The sequence below is a fragment of the Homo sapiens genome, chromosome 3 (genome assembly GCF_000001405.40).
Source record: "Homo sapiens chromosome 3, GRCh38.p14 Primary Assembly".
Lineage (NCBI taxonomy): Eukaryota > Metazoa > Chordata > Mammalia > Primates > Hominidae > Homo > Homo sapiens.
In genome coordinates, this window is record NC_000003.12 from 166,160,271 (window position 1) to 166,183,759 (window position 23,489).

General features: G+C 33.0%; 1 long non-coding RNA gene and 4 pseudogenes across 1 annotated transcript in view; 1 reads left to right on the forward strand and 4 right to left on the reverse strand.

Annotated features, from left to right (window-relative positions):
* The window catches only part of LOC124909497 (uncharacterized), a 69,072-nt gene extending 58,743 nt beyond the window's left edge, over nt 1–10,329 (forward strand). The window contains exon 2 of the long non-coding RNA XR_007096287.1: nt 9,934–10,329. This is a non-coding gene — a long non-coding RNA (uncharacterized LOC124909497). The remainder of the gene's footprint in view (nt 1–9,933) is intronic.
* Nucleotides 144–434, reverse strand: MTND4LP10 (MT-ND4L pseudogene 10; annotated as a pseudogene).
* On the reverse strand, nt 503–844 carry MTND3P7 (MT-ND3 pseudogene 7; annotated as a pseudogene).
* MTCO3P38 (MT-CO3 pseudogene 38) lies at nt 933–1,698 on the reverse strand (annotated as a pseudogene).
* On the reverse strand, nt 21,041–21,700 carry MCUR1P2 (MCUR1 pseudogene 2; annotated as a pseudogene).

The window sequence follows — 23,489 nt, forward strand, 5'->3', positions numbered from 1 at the left end:
TAGGCTGTAGTTAGTCATGTGGATTCAGATTATATAATTTTTAGAGAATCATGTCATTGGTAATAGTATAATTGTTGGAATAATTTATGTATATATATTTATTATACTTTAATTTCTAGGGTACATATAATAATTTTTAGCATTGAAATAAATTTAGATTTTGTACATAATCTAGGCCATATGTGTTGGAGATTAAAACTAGTAAGGCAAGGCCCACTGTGGCTTTGCAGGCAGCAAATACTAGAAGGATGATGGGTATTATGGATACTAGAGCAAAATATATGTTTAAAGTTTTAAGGGTATTTTATGATGAATATTGATAGTATTATGGCTTCTAGGCATAATAGGGATGATATTAGGTGGGATCAGTAGGCTAATATTCCCAGCAGTGATATGGTGTATGCTAATATAATATTGATGTAAATAGAGGGCATTTGGTAAATGTGGTCTATCATAATCTAATGAGTTGAAATCATTTATTTTGACTTAAATGATTTACCAGTTCAACTCAATCTACTCCTTTTTTGGGCTCATTGATAAGTCAAGCCTAGGATTAAAATGGTAACTAGTATAAGGGCTATGTTGATTATTAGTGTCGAGTTGTTTGTTTGAAGGGCTCATGGCAGGGTAGTAGTAGGGCGATTTCCAAGTTGAAGAGGAGAAATGTGATGGCTACTGGGAAGAATTTTATCAAAAAGGGGAGGTGGGGGGAGGTTATTTGGTCAAATCCGCATTCGTAGGGGCTGGATTTTTCTATATAAATATTAAGTTGTGGGAGTCAAAATGTAATTATTGTTAGTAATAAGACCAGTAAGGTATTGGTTACTAGGGCTAGTGTCAGGTTAATTACTCTCTTTCAGATATTAGCAAAACTAATTGATTGGAAGTCAATGGTACTGTTTATACTAAAAGAGTAGGCTCCTCATCAATAGACAGAGACGTATAAGAATAGTCATGCTACATCAACAAAGTGTCAATATCGGGAGGTGGCTTCAAAGCCAAAGTGGTGGTTGGATGTAAAATGGAATTTTAGTTGGCGGAGGTGGCAGACAGTGAGAAATGTTGATCCAATAATAACGTGAAGTCCATGAAAGCCTGTGGCTATGAAGAATGTTGAGCCATAGATTCCATCAGAGGTAGTAAAGGGGGCCTGGAAGCATTCTGAGATTTGTAGGAGGGTGAAGTAAATACCTAAGGTAATTGTGTTGGATACTGCTTGAATTATCTGCTTTTGACTACCTTCTGTGGTGTGGTGAATCCAAATAATTGAAGCTCCTGATGCAAGTAATACAGATGTATTCAGGAGAGATACTTCTAAGGGGTTAAGGGGAAAAATGCCTGTTGGGGGTCAATGTCCCCCTAATTCTAGAGTTGGGGTTAGACTAGAGTGGTAGAATTCACAGAAGAAACCAGCAAAGAATAATACTCCTGAGATAACAGACAGAATTATTCCATACCAGAGGCCTTTCTGGACAATTGTTGTATGGTGGCCTTGAAATGTACTTTCTCGGATAATGTCACATCATTATTGGTATATAGTCAGTGTGTTGGTTAGTAGGCCTAGGGTGAAAAGAGTAATAGAGTTAAAGTGAAATCACATGGCCAGGTCAGATATTATTAGGAGGGCTGAGAGGGCTCCTGTTAGTGCTCAGGGGCTGGGTTTGACTACATGGTAGGCATGTGTTTGGTGGGTCATTATGTATTATCATACAGATAAAGGCTTACTAGTAGTGTGAAGACATAAGCCTCAATAAGGGCTATGGAGAATTCAAGAATGGTCAGTAGGATAAGAATAATGAGAGCGACTGAAGAGAAAGAAACTGACACCCTGTTTCATCAAGATGGTGCAGCTATCTGCACCATCTTCAAATACCACCAGAAGTATATGAGGGTTGCAATTTCTGCACATCCTTGACAACGGTTGTTCTCTACCTTGTTGATTCTAGCCATTGCAGTGTGTGTAAAGTGACAATTCATTGTGGTTTTGACTTTCATTTCCCTGATGACTAAAGATGGCAAGCATCTTTTCATGTGCTTATTGGCCATTTTTACATCTTCCTTGGAAAAATATCTATTCAGAACTTGTGCTTATTTTTAACATCTTTATTTACCTAATATCGACTTTAAAGAGTTCTTTATTCTGGATACAAATCCCTTAATACATATATAACTTAAACATATTTTCTCCCACTCTATGGCCTGCCTTTTCATCTTCTTGATGTTCTTTGAAGAACAAAAAATTTTTATTTTGTTAAGGTTTAATTTATCAGGCTCGTCTTTCTGCTTGTCATAAAGAATAGCACCTGTATTTTCTTCCAAATTTTTATTTTTTACACTTATTTAGATCTTTGGTACATTTTGAGTTCATGTTTTATAAAGAGTGTGAGATGGGAATCCCACTTCATTCTTTTGCAACTGTCTATCCAGTCGTCCCATGACTATTTGTTTAACAGACTATTATTTCCCCATTGAATGGTCTTGCCACATGTTTTAAATGTCAGGTGTATGAGCCTTTTTAGACTCACGATTTTATTTGATTGATCTGTATGTTTACACTTGTGCTCTACCACACTCTCAGTTACCACTGCTTTGTACTAAGTCATAAAATTGGTAAGTATAGATTCTCCTACCTGTTTCTTTTTCAGAGTTGATTTGGCTAATTTGCATCCTTTGCAATTACAATAAGCTGAGTTTTAGAATCAGCTTATCAATCTTTACAAAGTAGTTATTATATTTAAATAGAGATTTGTTGTATCTATATATTATCTTGGGGAATATTGCCGTGTTAACAATGTTAAGGCTTTCATCCATGAACATGGGATATTTTCCAATTTACTTAGATCTTCTTTAATTATTTAAACACTGTTTTATATTTTCAGGGTATAAGTTTTGCACTTCTTTTGCTAAGTTTATTTCTAAGTACTTTATTCTTTTATAGTCTACTTCAAAAGGCATGTTTTCTTAATTTATTTCTAGATTACTCACTGCAAGTGTATAAAATACAACTGAATTTTATGTATTAGTCTTGTGAAATGTTGCTGAACTCATTAATTCTAATAGTTTTTAGTGTATTAATTAGGTTTCCCGACATACAAGATCACGTTATCTGCAAATAGTGATAGTTTTACTTCTTCATGTCAAATCTAGATGTCTTTTATTTCATTTTTTTTTACTATCAGCTGAATGTTGAACATAAATGGCAAGAATAAACATTCTTTTTTTGCTCCTGATCTTAGGAAAAGAGCATTTTGTCTCTTATCATTATCTGTGATAACATCTAAGAACTTTCCATATATGACTTTTTTCAGTTTGAGGGAATTTCCTTATACTCTTTGTTAGCTAAGAGGTTTTTTTTAATTATGAAAAAGTGGTCAACTTTTTCAAATATTATTTCTGCGTTTGTTGAGACAATTATGTAAGTTTTGTTTTTATTCTGTTAAAATAATGTATTAATTAATTTTTCAGATATTACAAAACCTCCTTGAGATAAATCCTACTCGGTCGTGGTATAAAATTGTTTTCACTCATTTCTGTATTTGATTTGCTAGGATGTTATTGAGAATTTTTGCATTCATATTCATAACAGACATTGGTCTCTAATTTGCCTTTCTTGGGTTGTGTGTGTTTGGTATTGATATCTGGGTAATGCTGGATTTATAGAGTGAATTATAAAGGTTTTTGTTTTCTTTCCATTTTTTAAAGAATGAGTAAAAAGTTGGTCTGCATTATTTTTTAAACATTTGTTAGAATTCAGAGATAAAGCCATGTTTACCTGGGTCTTTTGTTGTAGATCGTTTGTTGATCACTAACTAAATCACTTCAATTGTTATAGTACTATTCTGATTGCTTATTTCTTCTTGAGTCTGCTTTGGTAGTTTGTGTCTTCTTATGAAATTTCTCATTTCATGTATGGTATCCAATTTTTATTCTTATATCATTATTTTTATTTTTCTTTGCATTTCTGTAATATCAGTAGTAGTCTCTTCTTTCATTTCCTGTTCTAGTAATGTAAATATTCTTTTATCCTTGGTCAATTTAGTTAGAGGTTTGTTAATTTTGTTAATTTTTTAAAATAAGTTTTGGATTCATTGATTGTTTTATATTTTCTACTTCAATTTCTGCTCAAACCTTTATTTTTTAATTTATTTTCCTTGCTTTGGGTAAAATTTGCTATATTGTCAATGTCTTATAGTGGAAAGTTAAGATATTGAGTTAAGATATTTATTATTTCTTAATATAGTTGTTTATTGCTGTACATTTTTCTTAAAGCTCTGTTGTAGTCGTGTTCCATAATTTTGGTATGATTTTTCTTACTTTTAATTCATTTCAATGCATTTTTGATTTCTCATTTTCTTTATTCTTTGACCTAATAGTTATTCAGGAGTATGTTGTTTAATTTTTAAATGCGTGTGAGTTTCTTCCATTTTTTATGTCATTAATTTCTATTTTTCTTTTATTCCAATCAGAGAACACACTTGTATTTTTAAATTATTTAATGAAGCTGTTTTATAAAGTACCATATTGTCTATCCTGGAAATATCCCATACTATTTAAGGAATATATATTCTAATTCTCAGTTAAGTGTTCTATAAATATCTGTTAGCTATTGTTAGTTTATAGTGTTGTATAGGTATTGTATTTCTTGCTCATCTTTTGTCTAGTGTTCTATCCATTATTGGAAGTGAAGTGTTTTGGTCTCCGAGTATTATTTTTTTACTTGCCTATTTTCCCCTTTATTTCTATCTGTCTGGCTGCATGCATTTCGGTACTCTGTTATTTGGTGCATGTATACTTATAGTTGTTATAGTTTTCTGATGAATTGACCCTTTTTATCATTATAAAATACCCCTTTTTATATCTACTATCATTTTTTGTTAAAGTCTATTTCATGTGATCTTAGTGAAGACACTTTAGCCTCCTATGTTTACTGCTAGCTTGCTATGCTTTGCTTTCCTTCTTTTTATTTCAGTCTAGCTATGTCCTTGAATCTAAAGTGTGTCATTTATAGACAACATATAGCTGGGTCATTGATATTATCCAGTCTGACAATCTGTGCCTTTTGAATGGAATTTTAAATCCATTCAAATGTAACAATAATATTAATATGGTTGGATTTATATTTGCATTTTATTATTTCTTTGCTCCATGTCTCATGTCTTTTTTGCTCCTCTGTTAATCTTTTACTGCTTTGTTTTGTGTTAAGTGAATATTTTCTAATGTAACATTTAAATTTCATTAATGATTTCTTCACTATAGTTTTCTATATATTTTTACTTCTAGAGCTTGCTGTAGGGTTTTTTAATATATATCTCAAGATATTCTTATGAACTTTAGATTTATACTAGATTAATAACAGAAAAAGGTATAAAAATATAGCTCTATTCCCTTTCCCCATTTTTGTAATATTATTGTTATACATACCATATTCATTAATGTTACAAGCCTAACAATATATTTTTATAATTATTTTACCAATTGTAATCAGTTTTTAGCTCATTAAAGTGTTGTTCCCACCCAACTCCTTTGTTCTTTTATTGGCAAATATATTACATGTGAATTACATTTCTGTATATTATAAGTCCAATAGCACATATACATATTTTTCTATACAATTACTGTTCAGATAGGTTAATAGAAGAAAGGAGAATAAAGAGTATTTATAGTGTCTTTTATAATTAAAAAATGACTTTAGCAACACTCTTTGTTTATTAATGTAGGTTCTAACTACTACCTGGGATCATGTGCTTTCAGTCTGAAGAATATCCTTTAGTATTTTATGTAAGGCAATTCTGCTAACGACAAATTCTCTCCATTTTTATTTCTCCGGGAAAGTATTTTGCTTTTATTTTTGAAGGTACCTTGGATGAATACAGTATTCTTGTTCAGCAGTTTATTTTTTTCTTTGAGTATCATGATGATATTATTACGCTCTCATTATTTGCATTGTTTCTGCTGAGAGATCAGCTCTTATTTATATTTTATTGGTAATTCCTGGTAAATAAACATTTTTAATAAAAGTACTAATTTTTTCTAATATTAGATAAAACTCTGGGTAGATTGATTTTCTTGAGAAATGTTTTTCTTTCTATAGTGGGAATGGGGCTCAAGAGTAAGTTTGACTTTTGCAAATTTTAAGTTACATAAATCTGTCATCCATGATAGAAGTGGTTTATTTGTATTCTTACAGGAAGAGATCCAGAATAAAGAAAAATCTCAGCCTTGAGTACTACAACTATAAAATTGACTCTGTTTATTTTTCACATTTTATCCTTAATTTAAATCATTTACTTTTCTCTATGCTGTTTCTGCCACAATCTTCCAATTTCTGTCCACTAAAAGGGTCTTTGAATTAGACTCTGGTACTCCTATTTTTGCTTGTGGTTGTCTTCTACACTGCAGCAAGTTATCTCATTTTTATGCAAATATAAAATTATTTTTTCCTGTTTGAACATTTTTGATGAGTTTTGATTGCTTTTACTGTAAAGATTAAGCCCATTTACCTATTTTAGGAGGCAGTTTAATATCTAATTCCTCTTCATGTTTTTTCTTCTATTTTGATATTCTTCCTCTTACATTCCAAGCCCTAGCTATGTAGAAAATATTTTTTCTTTTTTTAATGTATTTTTTTTTTTAAGATTTGGGATCTCAGACTGGAGTATAGTGGGGCAATCATAGCTCACTGCAGCCTCTGGGCTCAAATGATTCTCTTGGCTCAGCCTCCTTAACAGCTGGGTCTACAGGCATGTGAGCTCATGCCCTGTTCTTTTTTGTTTTTGAATCCACGATGTTCTTACTTATCTCTAAGCTTTTGTATATCTTTCTCTTGCATAAAAATAAACCTCACCTCTCTTTTCTTCTAGTGTTCTATCTCATTTGTCCTATATTAGCTTCAGCATCACTCCATCTGAGAGGATTTTCATATAGAATCTCCATTCTAGGCACTTACATAGAAACATGCAGTTTTGTTATTAAAACATTAATCTCTGGAGGTAGAAACCATTGCTTCTTCGTACACTGTTATATCCAGCAGCTATCACAGTGTTTAAAACAATATCAAATTATTTAAAAAATAATGTTCCATAAGAGTACAATCTATCTTTGAAAAATAAGTATACATTTAAAAAGTCGAAACTAATATACATCTGAAAAAAGATGCTCTTGAAACTCTAAATATGTAATTTGAAGACTTGCTACTGCAAAAATTCATACAATATTTATATATGTTTAAATTTAGCAATTTAGAAAATTTTAATAAGACATAATTCATACAAAACATGGTGGTTCAAAACTCAAAATTAATTTTTATGTAACCTCAAAATTTCAAGAGCAAATTTTAATAAAGGAACATTCTCATTTAGAAAGTACAGAATAGTAGATTTTCATTCTATTTTATGACAAGCTTATTACCATAGTAGTAAAATTTTTATTTTTAGTGATGAGAAAATCAGGCAATATGTTATACATGTCCTTGAAGACAAGCTGCAAAATGTATAAGAATGCTTTTGGCTATTTATCAAACTTTTTATTTTTCTCTCAATTTTCATTTTGAGTAATTTATTGATTCCCCAATTTTTATCACTTCTTTTCTATGGTAGCCTGTGTTATTTTTTACTATCTAGAATAATTATGCATTTTATATACTAGTAAGTTTATTTTAAACAAGATCAATGAGAACATATTCAATGAAACACAGAACAAAATGAGTGAGTACATTTATTTTTTCAATTACAGCTTTCGTTGGCTGAAGAAATAAAATTCATATTATGTTTAGAAACAAATATGTTAGAGTTAGCAATTTATTTGTTCTAGGTTGTAGAAATAAACAAGTCAAAGAGTAGTAATAACTTCTTAGAATCAGCTGAAATTATGCCAATTATATAATGGTAGAAATATAAGTCAGTAGAAATACATAGTGCACTATTCAGTATGTGTTATTATGTGAATAAATTAATCCCCCCACAATAAACATTGAAATAAAATGTAATGATTCTGATCTTATGTTTTGATATTTATTTAGAATAAAAACTTATTTTTGTTGTTAAAAAGAAAATTAAGATAACTTATTTCTCTTTTCAAAATATTCTCTATTTTCAAAAATGGACTCATCCACCTGCTAGTATTTTTTCTCCTTTTTTATGAATCTTGATTAATGACATTTTCATCCAAATGTAACAAACTGGACTCTTCTCCTTCTCTCTCTCTTTTCTAATTAAATAAACCATTGATTTTTAAAATCCTACCATATAAATCTCAGATTAATTTATTCTTTTTCATCTCTTCTATTATCACTTCCATTCATTTCTTTCTATTTCTCTGTAACTTTTGTGATGAATTTTTACTGTAATATCCTGGAACTACTTTATCTATTTTTATTCACACTACTGCCACTGTTACCTTTTAAATCTTGTCACTTTTCTTGTAAAAACCTTTAAAGTCTCCACACCACCTTCAGGATAAAAGTCTTATCTCTTTAACATAGCCTGAGAAGTCTTTATTTGACTATTGTATAATCTGTTGCAAGTATGCTGATCAAGTTTACTCTAAAAGAGGTTTTTCACAGAAAAACAGATTTGTCTCCATATAATGAACATAAAGGAAGGCATGTTACTTCCTCTCATTATTGCCTCTCAAATCTGTTACCTTTGTTTCTGAGATTCAGTGATTTCACAGTCTAGTTTTCTGCTTCCAGATATAAATGGCAATACTTATAATATTAAGGAACTCTTTTAGACTATGCCTTGACTGGTTAGGTGTTTTTGTTTTGTTTTGTGTAGTTTTAAGTAAATAGTTGTGTGTAGTCTGAGTTCAGTGTATCAAATTAACACACAATGTCACAATGTTTGCATGACCACTGAATTGAATCTTCTTGTATATGTGTGCTTCTGAACTGCTAACTCATTTATCCCTAGTGTGTTCACCCAAAAAGTGAAAATTATTTATTGATGTATTTACATACTTATTCCTGAGGTTTATCCATTTTATGTGGGGCTCTACTTCATATTCATTAAATACACTTATCTTGCATGATAAGGCAACATAAGAAAAAAATTAGAAAATGGAATATTCTTGTATTTGACATTGGCTGACCAGACTGTGGTTTTAAGTTTTTCCTTCTGTTATAATACAGGGTATTCACATGCATGTACAAAAGAAACATGGTTACTCTATTTTGAATCAAATTTTCCACAAAAATAAAACTAAAGTATGTAAGGAAAAGTCGGAAAAGGAGAGTGTCCTTAGTTTATAAATCCTAAACTATTGCAGAAGATTTTTAAAAAATTTATAGTCACTTTTCATTTTATTAAAAATGTCTACATTGTCATTCACATTCTCTGATATAATAATAATTGACCCTGTTTATAATATATTATCACATCTGACATATTCTAAAGTTTATAAATTTGGGGGTGTATTTTCAGCATTAGATTAGTGAATTGCTACTATAGAGTAGAAAGAAGATTTTAACTTATAAGAAGAATATTAAAATAACAGTAAAACATTTGCTAAAGTTGTGGCAGAAATTCCAATCCACATAAACAGCAACCTGTTTCCAACTAAATTTACATAGTTTGGTTGCTATTTTATGTTACCAGCTGAAGTTGACTGGAGTCATATGGCAGTAGTGTATTTATAGCATTCAATTTTTTCGCCTGCCAATTTTTAGTTTATGCAACTACAGATGGATTTTTAAACAAATTTGGGATTTGCATCATTTCAGAGTTTTTAGAAAAAGAAGATTATCTACTGGATCTAGTAGATCTATAACACACTATTTCTAAGGTGCCATGGTAAATATTCTCCAAAGGCAGCTGCTAAAGATTTCTCTCCCCACTATGCTTAAAGGAGTTGGTTTCTAATTTTCTTATACCTGTATTGAATTTGCTTTGACCATTAAAATTGGTAGAAGTGACAGTTCACCTGTTGTTTGCCTAGCTCCTATGCGACCTCGTCACTTCCATTGGACAGCCACCTATATACCACTAGAGAAAAAGAGATGATGCAGAGGAAAATTAAAGTTCACAGCTGTCATCAACTTCCAGTCATATGAATGAGGTCTTCTTGGAAACCCAGCTCCAGTCAAGTTTCAAGTTGAATGCAGCTCCATGTATGGCCTGAGAATTAACCATTTAAGGCAGAACTACCCAGCTGATGCATGAATGAGTTCTCGACCTACAAAATCGTAGGGAATAATATATAATAGTTTGAACACTCTAAGTTGTGGGGAATTTTGCCATAGAAATCTGATACATACATAATAAGTGTTCACTTGAAATAAGACTTTGTTGTCTTTGCAACTCATAAACTGAATAAATTCTTTATGAAAAGCAATGTATATTCTCTCTTTGTAACTATGTATTACATTGTTCTTCTTTAAAGTATTTCCTTATTTCCTTTTTACTTTCTATTTGATTTTATTTTGTTCATACAATTTATTTCATCCTGAAGGATATACCTTAGTTTCCTTTATTAAATTTCTACCTGCATCTTTAAATTTAGACTCTATACTTCAATGATTATTTTCTTAATTCATCCCTCCTGAATGAATCCATACTTCATCAAACTTCTCTCTATTCTCAGAATGAGAATTATCACATTTTTGTGTTTTGCTTCATTTATTGCCATTGATTGCCCTGGCTAGAAAGTAAGGCCTACTTTTTGTTGTTGTTTTGTATTCTATTTCAAAAAGCAAGTGACCATTTTATAAAACTTTTTGAAGAGATTGATTTTTCCTCTTTTTTTGACAGCCTATAAGTGTACAAAATTATTAAAAGCAGTCTCTAAGCTGTAGGTGTTCTGCCAATATTGGAAGGATAAACAATTCTTAGAGACATAAACAGCATTTTTCAGGATACTTTTTCTGATCATTTTGTAAATTCTCCTCTGTAGGCAGCAACTGCATTCTTTCAACTCCTATTGAAAGAATTAAATTATACAAATGTGTTTATATGTATATACACATCACATATCTTTTTCATAAACTTAGGAAAGGCAAATGACTAAAAATTGATCTGTTACTGTCTCCTTTAGAGTTTTATATTTGTTTGTCTTACTTCTTTCATTCTTGCTTAGCCACTGGAACAATAAGATTTATTTATAATAATTATGTAATTGTGTGTCGGTGGATGATTAATAAGCAAGTACATATTAGTATCAAATGGGATAGTGTGCATAAAAGTGCTTTTTAAACAGCGAAGGAAATATATCGTAAAAGCATAATGATTGTGTTGTTACAAATGTAGCTATTTTTGTCTAAGAGTTACAAAGTTAAATTTTAATAAAACAAAAAGTTGACACTAAACTTCAGAAAAAAGATATTTTTAGGAACCGATTATGGAGGGAGATTATAATACATTAGAATCTATTAAAACCAGTAATTATGTTTCCCATGATAGAAATTATGGAACCAAGTAGACAAACTGGGGAATGGCTATATAAATACAGTCTGTGCTTCTATGTGTACGCAGGACAATATTCAAGGATAGTAAATCTCCAACTCTCAAAATCTGTATATACTGGATGTCTGTGACCAATTCTTTCTTCTTACCTTTTGTTTATCTACTTCTTACCTATTCTTAGAATTTGTATGACATTTTACATTTTATCCTAAATATTTAATTTGCTGACTATAGCAATGTTTTTTCGTGGGAATAAACTACCTAGTGTTAGAGGCAGATTTTCAAAATTTCAGTATCCATTCCATCAGATTTTCTTGGGGTGAAGCCCAGGAAGTGGTATTTTAAACTAGCTCCTTGAGTGATTACATGTACAAAAGTTTCATAATAATTATTCACGAAACTTTAGAGAAGAAAAAATTGTCAAGTAAATTCGGCTACCCTTATGTCACAGAAAAATTACAAAATGGAATTTGTCAAGATTAAATTTAAAAACAGAGTTTGTTGAAGATACAGGACAAAATTGTGTGTCTGTATTATTTACTTTTTACTGCGAGGTTGTTATATAGTCATGCTTAGTATTGCCAGGAGGGTTTATTTGTTTTCTGGTACATTTATGAGGAAGAGCTATACATTCTTTAGGGACATTGAATTAATATTGAATCATCAAAACTAATTAAAAAATTTGTATGGAGCCTTGATTACTACACGTACTAGAAATTAGGCTTTTTTGTTTTATTATGAATTTTTTAAATTTACTTATTTATTTCCTAAAACGTGTTCTAAAATTTTCATGTTGAAGGTTTTTCCAAAGTAATTAAATTAACATTGAAAATGATATTGGAAAACTTTATAGGAAAATGTATTTTTATATTTTCTTCCATTTTTTGAACAGAGATCATTTTATATATTTGTCAGTGTCACTCTAAAATCACCACCTCTATGTCACATTTTTTTACAATGCCTTATCTGAATCTCCTCAAAGAGTCCTTGAACATCGTACATTATAGCCTCTAAATGAAATGCTGTTTTCAACTTAATGTTGCATCAGTCAGTGTTCTGGCAAAGTTGACCTGTTGTAGTCAAAATTAAGGGAACCCACAAGGGATGGTCAAACACACTCTGATAAGAAATATCCAAATTTTTTTTTATCAAAATTTCCTCTCATTGTCACTTCATCTTGGATGGTAACAGGAGCTTTAGCACTGAGGGAGGTCTTCTCAGTAAGAGATGTAACCATAGAAAGAAGAGAAGGCCGGGGCAAAAGCAGTGGCCAGGTAGAAAGAAATGGAGGTGGAGAAATACTATTAGCTCTACCTCCTTCCTCCCTTTAATTTCATCCTTGTGCCTCCGCTTGGTCAAAACCAACCAGACATTAGAGGGTAAAAGGAAGCCTGGATAATAAGGTTCATAGAGGGGAAACTCCCAGAAAACAGAGAAGATCAGAGATTAACAGCAGGTAGAGTTGAGGGGCAAAAAATCTATGCTTATCCTTTGTTTACGTAGAAAGCAAATCAACTCAACAACCAAGAGAAAATGTAAACCTCTCATAAGCCTTTGTGTCATTTAAGGAGGATTTTAATTCAATCATTCCCAGTAGTTTTCAAGTAAAGAAGCAGGGAAAATCAGGAGATAATAAAAAATAATTAGTGCTGCAAACCCCACATCTGTCCTTTGTCTTAAAACCTAAGATGATAATCGCAGAGTCCTTCTAGCAGCATTCCATGTGCCCCTTACTTTTAGCCAGCCCTTGGTGTGTTGGAAAGTTTTACTTGGTGTTCTTTAACAGAACAAAAATAGCAAAAGGCAGCCCAGAAATTGTCTTGAATTCTAAGTATACTCTTACTTGTCTCCATTAGTCTCCTTGTAATCAAAACTATCACCTAGGCCAGGGCTTGGAGGATTTCTATTCTTGGCTCTTGAATTAACTGAAAGCCTTTGCTAATTCATTAGTTGAAAAACAGGGAATGTGTTGATTTGCAATAATTATCATAAATCACATCTGGAATTAACAGGTATGATTAGTGTCACCACTGTATAAGTTTATAATAGTCCACATCTAATCTCTCGGACCCATCAGATTTTGGCACTGGTCAAGTAGGATAATTAAATAGAAATGTGATAAGAATGAGCATCCTAGCAACATTCAGGCTTCTGCGCTAACATCTTCAATTTTCTCAGATATAGAATATGGCTTCGGTTATTATTTTAGTAAGGGGTGAGAGGTAGTTCTACTTTGCCTGGCCTACAAATTAGCCCTAACTATGTTTTGTGAGGTGCCTCTCATTACACGCACACACACACAAACACACACACACACGCACACATACACACACACACACACACACAGAGGGAGACAGAGAGAGAGAGAGCACTAAATCCATTAAATCATTCTGTGTTTTGAAGCTGAGGAAATAACTGCAGTATATGTCTGCAGTCTCACCAAAACCTTTGTGACTGAGATTAAGTACTGAGATTAAGACTCTCTCTGTCACCTAAATTCCTTTAGCCTCTCTCTAATTAAAAGACCTTAGTAGCATTTTGGTTTCCTAGGAAATACAAGATAGTATCAGTTCTGAGACAGAAGGATGTATTTCACTTTTCAGAGTAAAGAGAAAACTTAATGTATGGCCAACGTTCCCTTTTGTGGTAGCTTAGGCTAAAAGGAAGAATTAGAGTGTACATTTAGTGTTTGCATTGCAGAATTCATTCTCAAAGGAATCTGGCCGCTTCCTTAAGAGTATCTGTGTCTTTGAACTGATAGAGTATTGATGGGTATAGATTATTGTATCAATCAGGTTCCTAGTAGGTAACAGATGATACACTCAGAGATGTTAGTTGAGGAGAACTTCACGTAGGAACCACAAAATAATATTAACAAATTTATGAGAACCAGTAATGGATGGCGAGATCAGGGACTATCAAAAGTAGGAAGTCATTATTACCCCTAGGACCACAGGACCAAAGGCAGAGGGTGGTTTAACAGCAACTAATATGAGCTATAGTCACGAAAGTCATTTCCTACCAGGAGATATAGCTGAATGTGAAATAATCCAATCACCGAAAAAAGTACTTTCTGGAATAGGAAAGCTGAGAAAAGAGCTGACCTTTCTTCCTTCCGTTGACTTTTCTGCTGGTACCTCTGTTTGACCAACTTTAACCAAAAGACAGAAGGCAAGGAAACCCGGGTGATACATGACACCAGGAAAGTAGAGAATGGCAGAGTCTGAGTAGACAATGGATCTGGAGGACCAAAGAATGGGCAACATTAAAGTAAATCAATTATACGCGACCAAACTTTCCCTTAAGTGTGAGATGGAGAATCCATTGCGGTAGAAGCCATGATTTTGACAAACCTGTATAATTCACAGATACCCTAATTATAAGCCCTATAAAAGTAAAAAATAATAGAGCCAAGTTATTAAGAAATTTTGCAAACATGGGGGAACATGTATTTTTTTTTCTTTAGAGTTGTGAAGATTGAATAATGTCAGGTGAGGAAAATTCTGTTAACAAGAGTAAATACTACATGCTAGTGAGAATAAAATGTACAATGCTCTATATACAGAACAATTCTGTATACAACTTATTTTAATTTTAATTGAAATTCTGCGAGATTGCTATTGATGTCACAGATAAAATCTATGTTTCATTACAAAGGATTTATTTATTTTTAATAAGCACATGTTCTCAGTACCATCTCAGTTACAGAAAGGAAAAAAATCCAGGAACTGCCATTCCTTTCATTTTTACATAGCACTTAGTGGTGCAATGAGTTCATTGTAAGATACCCATTGTCCTTACTCAGAGATAATCAATTGTTCATTGTAAGATATCCATTGTCCTTACTCAGAGATAATCACTTTTATTGCACTACATCTTTATTATACTTTCTTGTTCCCTATATTTTAACAATAATTCTTCAGTTCATTTAAAAATTAAACTACTATGCCTGATGTTAATAATTCATCATAATTTATAATGTGAAAAGTTTCCGATCCTATCTAGATAATCGGGCATGCAAAATTTTATAAAATATGCTTAACAGTAATTAAATGTACAGATACAGATTCACATCTTCTACTAGAGCTGCTGTATGTAGGAGTGATTATGGAAGAACGAGGCATGAAGTGAAACAGAACAGATCTGGCATACACAATGATTCATGACTTGACTTGAAAGTAAGAAAAAACTTATAAATAATTCACTTTCCTTCTAAAAATAAGTGTTCACAGATTTTTACTGATGCCATTCGAAGTTCTCCATGTGAAAACATTATTATTTAAACTTAGAAGAAATATTTCCACAGGTGAAACAAGGGAAAACTGCAAAATGCCTTCTACTGTGTTTGGTTCCATGATCCAAATTGAATGATTACTTTTGAATCTTTGGATCTTTTGAAGCATAAATCTTTAATTGAGTTGTATAGGCTGGAAAATGGAAACCATTGAGGAAAATTGCCAAGCTCCTGGACTAAGCTATCCCTTAAATCAACATTTCCACAGCATTTCAAATTTTAGTTTTGGGATCACTCCTTAAGCATTTAGACTGTTTTCTTGTCAGTGCAGTGGACTTGGCTTTTCCACTAGAATTTTTCACAAATCTGTGGAATCACCAGTTTATACAAATGTGTGGCTTTGATTTTCTTATCAATCCATTCATTTTCAAAAGGAAATTAATGTATCACAATTAAAGAAATATATGAAAATTTATGATATTTGTTTATCAAATATATGTGTTTCTATAATACAGGGATCTTTTCTGCTTGAAAAGAGAACTTTTAAAGCTCTTGTAATCCACTTCCCTATTAGTCTTACTAATATAAACTCACAGGAACATCTGCCACCTTTAATATATTTCCGTGATGAGTTGCAGAAAAGTCAAGGTCCTGGTATCAGTTCCTGGTGAGGGCTTTGGTAGATGTTTCCTTATCAGGGAAGTTCTAACATATAGACTGGGAAATTTCCCCTAGAAGCATAGTCTCACAGCTCACTATCTAGCTCTCTCCTTCACTTACGGGAGCTTCTTTATTTTTATTTTTTTGACTTTTGTTTTAGGTTCGGGGCTACCTGTAAAGGTTTGTTACCTAGGTGAACTCGTGTCACAGGGCTTTGTTGTACAAATTATTTCATCACTCAGGTATTAAGCCCAGTACCCAATAGTGATCTTTTCTGCTCCTCTCTTGCCTCACACTTTCCACTCCCAAGTAGACCCCAGTGTCTATTGTTCCCTTTTTGTTACTACTCTGGTGCTAGGGACTCATCTTGCAGCCATTGACTTCCTTCAAAGCTAAATGCCTCTTGCACTGATCCCGGTCCTCCTAGAAGCAGACACCTATGTAGAACGGAACATGCAAGGATTTTTAAGGGAAAATATCTGCGTGAGAGTAAATGACAGCATGCTAGAATAGCAGGGAGAACCATCAGACATCCAACCAAGTCTGAGCTCAGAAAAAGGGAGTTAGGGTAGGTGGAGGTGTACTGGCTGCTTTGCAGTCTAAGGATTATTCAGGAAGGTCCATCAGGGTGTCTTCCAGCTGAAGTCAGTTGTGAGGACAGGAATAGGCCCTTCCTTGGTATCTTGCAACACTCATTGAGCAGCCATGTGGGAGTATGGCCTCAGTGCAGGTGGCTCTCAGAGGACAGCAGTTGAGCCTTGTGGTTAATTATACTCCCCAGAGTTGGAGATCTGGTGTGCATTCTTGTGGTGGCCGCACCTCTGTCACCTTGCCTTGACAGTGTACAGATGCTCCTGCTCCAAGCTGCTGTCTTGCAAATCTAAATGCCATGTGAATGAATCCCATTTGAAATCTAAGTAACATGCCTGTGCTTTGACTGCAAATAAGACTGAGGAGGAGGCTTCAAATTCATAAGCCACAAATTCCTCTAATACAGCAAGATTGTTAAAAAAAAAAGGTGTGGCAGACGAAAAACGTAATGGATGCTCCTCACAAAAAATAACATAATAAAAGTAACATAATAATATGAAACCATATTCTTTTCAGTTAAAGAAATTGTTTCTGTGCTGGCCAGTTTTTCAGAGATCAAGAAAGAGAAAAAGAGAGTGGAGGCAACTAACTTTTTTGTTAAGGATGTGACTCAGAAATTGCACACTTCGCTTTTGTTCAGTTCTATTGACCCAAATTTAATCACATGGACACAGACAGCTACAAGGGAGGCTGAAAGATGTTGTCATTGGCTGAAGGCAATGTACCCCAATAAAAATCAGAGTGAAAGACAGGAAGAAAGGGTGAATAGATATTTGAGAACACTAAATCCCTCATATATTTTGTGTATACCAACTGGTTACTGCAACCTTTAAATTCCATTTAAAAATAAACATAATCATGACCCTACACGGAAATTTATTTAACAATTTATTAAAATACATCATATCACTAGGTACAACCAAAACCTTCACAATTTTATAGACAAATACATCTATTTTAAGGGAGTTTTGAATGAAGTGGTGAACTATATATTTTTCAGTTCTGTGACGAGAGCACGCGCCAATTGCTATATTCTTTTAATGTATTTGTTTCTAATACCATGCTCTGTTATGTTTCTGCATGATGGCTGAAGTAATTTGAGAAAGAAAACATTTTCATACATTCTTATGCAACTTCAATTTAAAATTTATACAACAAATGAATTTTAAATCATTTGGAGTAATAAGGGAATATAGAGAATAAAATAGAAAAATAACTTTTGTTATAAGATATATTTTATATTTTCACCCATAGAAAAACTTATAGCCCAGATCTCATGTATATAATTATAGAAAACCTCTAATAAATAAAAGGTCTTTAGATGTAGCTTTAGATGACCTTAATTAATATTTATTTTACTGAGCTATTGTTCATTTTGTCTGTTATCTCTAATATGTTATTATTCTTTATATTGAGTTTGGACTACATTCTAATAAAAAATATGGCATACTCAAATAACTTAGTTCTTGTAAACATTCTCCTTTAACTTCTTTTAAAAATTTTACTGAAAAGTAAAAATTGAGAAATCAATGGTTGTCACATATAGATTGACTTAACTTTGCATTGCATTCAAGTACCTGAACTTGCTATCTTCACCTTGCCTGTGGGGTTGCTTGCCACCTAAGTGGAGGCTCAATTTTTTTTCCTTCTCAGGTGACAGGTGAATATATATGAGATTATCCCTTGCTATCCCTGAACTGTACTTGCTCAATTAATCTGACAGAATTTCTTTTTCAGCTTTTCTTCCCAATAAACTTTAATGATGCCATTAAAGTCGTGAGACTTAACAACAAGATTTTAAAAAATAATCCAACATAACCATGACCCTATATAAAACAAAGATAATAAATACTAATATTATACCAGTTAAAGAAAAGACAATTAACCAGGACAGAGTTCTATTCTAGAATTTCTTTCTTTTGAAGTTAGATATTGTGAAGCAATCTTGTGAGAGAAGTGGGGGAAGCTTAATAGGTCTGGAGTTAAAATGTACTTATATTTTTAAAATTTATATATCATTATATTGAATATTTGTATGAAATCTTCTCAGGTAACATATTATAAGGAGCCTATAATCCACAGATGTTGAATTTTTTGATTGGAGAGATAGGCTGTATTTCTCACATTCAAATTTTAAACTCTTAACTTTGTAGTTTGCTAATGCACTAAAACCCAGAGAAAAGTTATTTAGTTCTAACAGGATAATTTTCTGTGTTGACTGACCACATCAAGCAGTCATTTGATGAGGTTTCCCCTGGGAAGAGACATGGCCAAGAGTTAGATATCTCTCTTCAGCTAAGGAAAATATCAGAAAAGGTATAGGACAGTCAGTCTGGAATACTGCAGTATATGGGGGAATAAATCTATATAATTATAAAGGGAGACTGGAAGAGTATATCGCAAAATCAATGGCTGTCATCTTTAAGTGCTTAGACACAGATTTTTATAAGAAGTTCTGGAAGCAGAAACTGCAGAATTCTCATGGGCTTTTCTTCCTGGGGAAAAATATCAGTAAAAAGTTAGTGGGACAAATCACAGCGTCTGTCATTGCAGCTGATCTTGAGAACACAATTAATACTTGACTTTTTCTTCCTCTATTTTTATTTCTATTTTAGATTCCCATTATCCTCAGCTAGTACTTCTGTTGTCCTGGGTGTCTTATTTCATGCAAGAAACCCAAACCCTCATTCCTGAAGGATGTTAACCATTGCCAATTATGCAATTCTCAAGTTATAACTGCTGAAGTTGTCTATTTACTGTCAAAATCAGACAGTGGGGCATTAAGAGGTGCCCGAGTAATCACTTGGAAGAAAATGGATTCCACTCTGTGCCACCAAACTAATGCAACCATACCTTCTGATGATCATCAAGGAGTTTGGTTTTAAGGTGTTCAGATACAAATTCCAGCAACATTTCTGGTTTGTCTCCTTAAACTTGTAACTTCTCAACAGAGACACTTTGTATAATGAAAGAAAAAAATGAATACATTCAGATTTTAATTTTGCTATATATCAAACAAGAAACCAATCTGAAATTAAATAAAAAACTAGCCCCAAAATAAAAATTAGTACATCTAATAAAGAACTAACCATGCACAGAAACAGCGTATGTTTATTAATGGAGCAGTAAGTGTGTAAGTGTTTACTGAAGATAAAGGATGGTGAGTGAGTGGGGGGAGAGGAAAAGGTAGGACAGCAAAAGAGTCTAGAAGGATGACTTCTGGATAAAATGGAAATATAAATATTTTACTCACTCGATATTCTGTTTCAGATATATGTCAGTGTTTTTTTATTTTTAATTTTTGATTAGCAAGGTATATTTTGAGTGTTAAGCTATGGCCGATATCCTTATTAGCCAGAACCAAAGTTGTTATTTTTGCAGACATTTTGTCTGATGTCCCTAATGTTTGATATTATGTCTAGCTATCTGGCAATATCAGTTAAGTATCCTGGTAGATGATGCCACACGTGGACAATTAGTGCATCTCTAAAATGAAAGGCACAGAAAAAAAATTTTGTGTTCTAAAAGCGGTAAAATTCTCCATTATATCATAACATTCATTACGCAACATGATTTTTCTTTTAATTTTTGGAAGGCACATGAAAAGCAATCAAAAGAATAATTTACTAGGATAATGGTAAGGAAAGTGCTTTGGTGCATAAGCCCTGCTGTATTATTATTAGCACATCAACCAACTACAGAATATTCTGAAACCAAATAAGTGGTTCAAAGAATAGCTGATAATTTAGGGCACAGGTAAAGAGGATTTGTTGTTCTTGTTTAGTTTGATTGATTCATGTAATGAAGGTATTGTGCCTTTTAAATGGAGCACCCAAGAGCTATACATGCAAATTATTCTACATTGTAGAATATAATGAAAGCATTTACTGTGGATGTGTACCATAGGTTAGGTTACATTTATCATTCACCTGAATGGACATTGTCTAGCAACATTCAGCATTAGAAAGTCAACCACAGAAGAAAAGATAAAGGGACTGTTATTATGTTCATGACATATTTACACTGGTCATGTATCCATTATGTGCATAAAATTAAAATAATATTCATAAAAGTGAAAGCAGAATTAAACTTTGAAATGAGAAAAAGAGATTTTTTTAGTAAAAATATCCAGAAATGTATTTAAATATAAACTTTATTATATCCATAGATGAAAAAATCCCACAGCTATTAGTAGGAATGTAAATATGAAGACTGATAAATATTTCATCTTTTCAACCTTGCATGATGCCTGCATGGTTTTAAGGCAGCATCTGTAATGTCACTTTTCTGCTTTATCTGGATGAGAGATCCATCATGCTGGGCATGCAGTGTTACCACTTTTGTCCTCATTTTATGCAGCTTCCTTCCATTCGGTGAATACAACATTTTTTAATTCAATTTGTTTCTAGATTGAAGTTTAATATTTAATTTATTTATACTTTGATCACTTCATCCATTACTTATTGTCTAAAACTGATGTTATTAAACTATTATCTTTTTCTCATTTTCTTTGCAGACTGAAACTTACTCTTCTGCAAAATAATCATATTCATTTTCAGAGTAGCCATCTCAGGCATTTTCTGAAGAGTTCTCAGCTACAGTTTGGTGATGACATCTTTGTAGATGACATCCTTGTTGTCATACACGATGTACACAAATACAGATACATTTCTGCTTAATGAATAGTAAACCCAGTATAGTACGGATGTCAAAGAACTTCTTGCTCCCAGAAATGCTTTCTCTCCTTATGCACTCTAGCTGCAGTAATTGACAAAGGGATTATCTCTTCCGTGGAGATGGCAAGAGCTGTAGCAACTCCCCCATCACCAACACCAACAGGAAGCCGCGCAGAAAGCCCCATGTAGGACAGGGCATAATTTCGGTCACTACTTTCCCTTTCTGTCAGTGGGCAGATGATCAGTGTCAGCTACTGGCTAGAGTGCTCCCAGCCTCCAAGTTTAAATTGACTTTTGGGTCGGGAATTGTAGAGCCAGTTGGTGATCTTCAATAAATGGCTGAAGTGAAGTAAAAGCCTGATTGGGCTGGATGTCCAGAGAACAAGAAGCAAACCTGCTTCCTTAGAAGTTGGGCTCTATATTGGAGCTTAACATTTGTATGGAAGTTAGACGGATAAAAGGTCAAGCGAGGTTTCCTTTTGTCTTCCCATAAAATGTATTATAGTATGTTTGTATACAGGACTAATGTAACTGAGGGAAAACAGTAATAATTTATTAGAGAAAAGAGATACATTGGAGAGCAAAGTCTCTGAACGTATCAGAACGATGAGATCAAGGTTGAGATAGCAGGAGTTGGATTTGGGAATGTATGAGCCCAGTTTATCCACAGTAAAGGGAACTGGCCAAGCAGTTAATAAAGGTCCCAGTGGAATTTTGTTTTCAATATGGAATTTTTTCCTGACTATCCTTTAATGTCTGACACTTCTTGGATTTGTGTTCCAATTACAAGGATAATGTTTAATTGCTACAAGTTATTTAAGTGTACTTTATTGAAAGGAAAGGCTGCCTACTGGCTGCAGGGATGTGGGTGGAGTATCTCGACCAGAGATCTCACTGAATGGGGTGCTGGTTGAATGTAAGCCAGCTGTCTGCCCTTCCACTCTTCCCCTACAGGATGCACACGCACTGGCAAAGTCTATTGTCATTGGCAATATGCTGGCAATCTTCTTAGCATATTGTTTAATATCATTAGATATGACGGGTCCTGTTTCAGTGTGGAGCCTAATTTACTACTTTACCAAGATAGAGGAAATAGGAGAAAATTTCTGACATTCTCACCCTCTATCAGTGTATTTCCCTCAGTACATTTTTACCTTAGCACATTGTCTCTCTACTGTTGTGTGAAAGACCTCGACTTCTGCATTTCAGAATTGAGACTTACCTAGGAGGCTTTTATCTTGAAAACTTATTTCTCCAGTTGTCAACTTTTAGCTTGCTAAACATGATTTAAATTGTTTTGAATGTAAAGATTGGTAATAAGTTTGAGGAGAGATTGTTTCCTCTTTTAAAATCTTGCTATAGGCTTTTTGTCCTTTATTTTTTAACCCTTTCTGCTGAATGTATTTTTGATTGTGCTTTGTTTCATGACTCGCTTTAAATTTATTGAGTTTGATCACACTCTGCTGTTCTTCTTGCTTGTTTGTTTGATTTTTTTGCCTATTTTGTTTCTACATCTCAAATATTGGAACATGTTATAAGACGGTCATTTTTTTTGTCTAGAAAATAAGATATAAAATGGACATGCCTTTTACATTTCTATGAATTTTTAAAATTAAAAGAAAGCTATGTTTTGGGTTTTGATTTTTTAAAACACATTTTTAAAAGCTCAGTTTATTCTTTGTATATTTTCTCCTTTTTGTGTGTAAAATAGTTTCTAAGAAGTTTTTCTCAAACGAAGCAATTCTTACCTTTTATTCTCAACAAATGCTAAAAATGGTAAGTGTCCCTAGAGTCAGTAGAAGCTTCGCTTGTGTAAACTGCCCAATCAGGTCCCATGGGTAGAATTTGACAGCTGTATAATGCCACACTGCAAATTTCTCCACAGCTGAGCACAGGAAGAAATTCCATTTGAAGATTTGAAAGTTCAGGAGA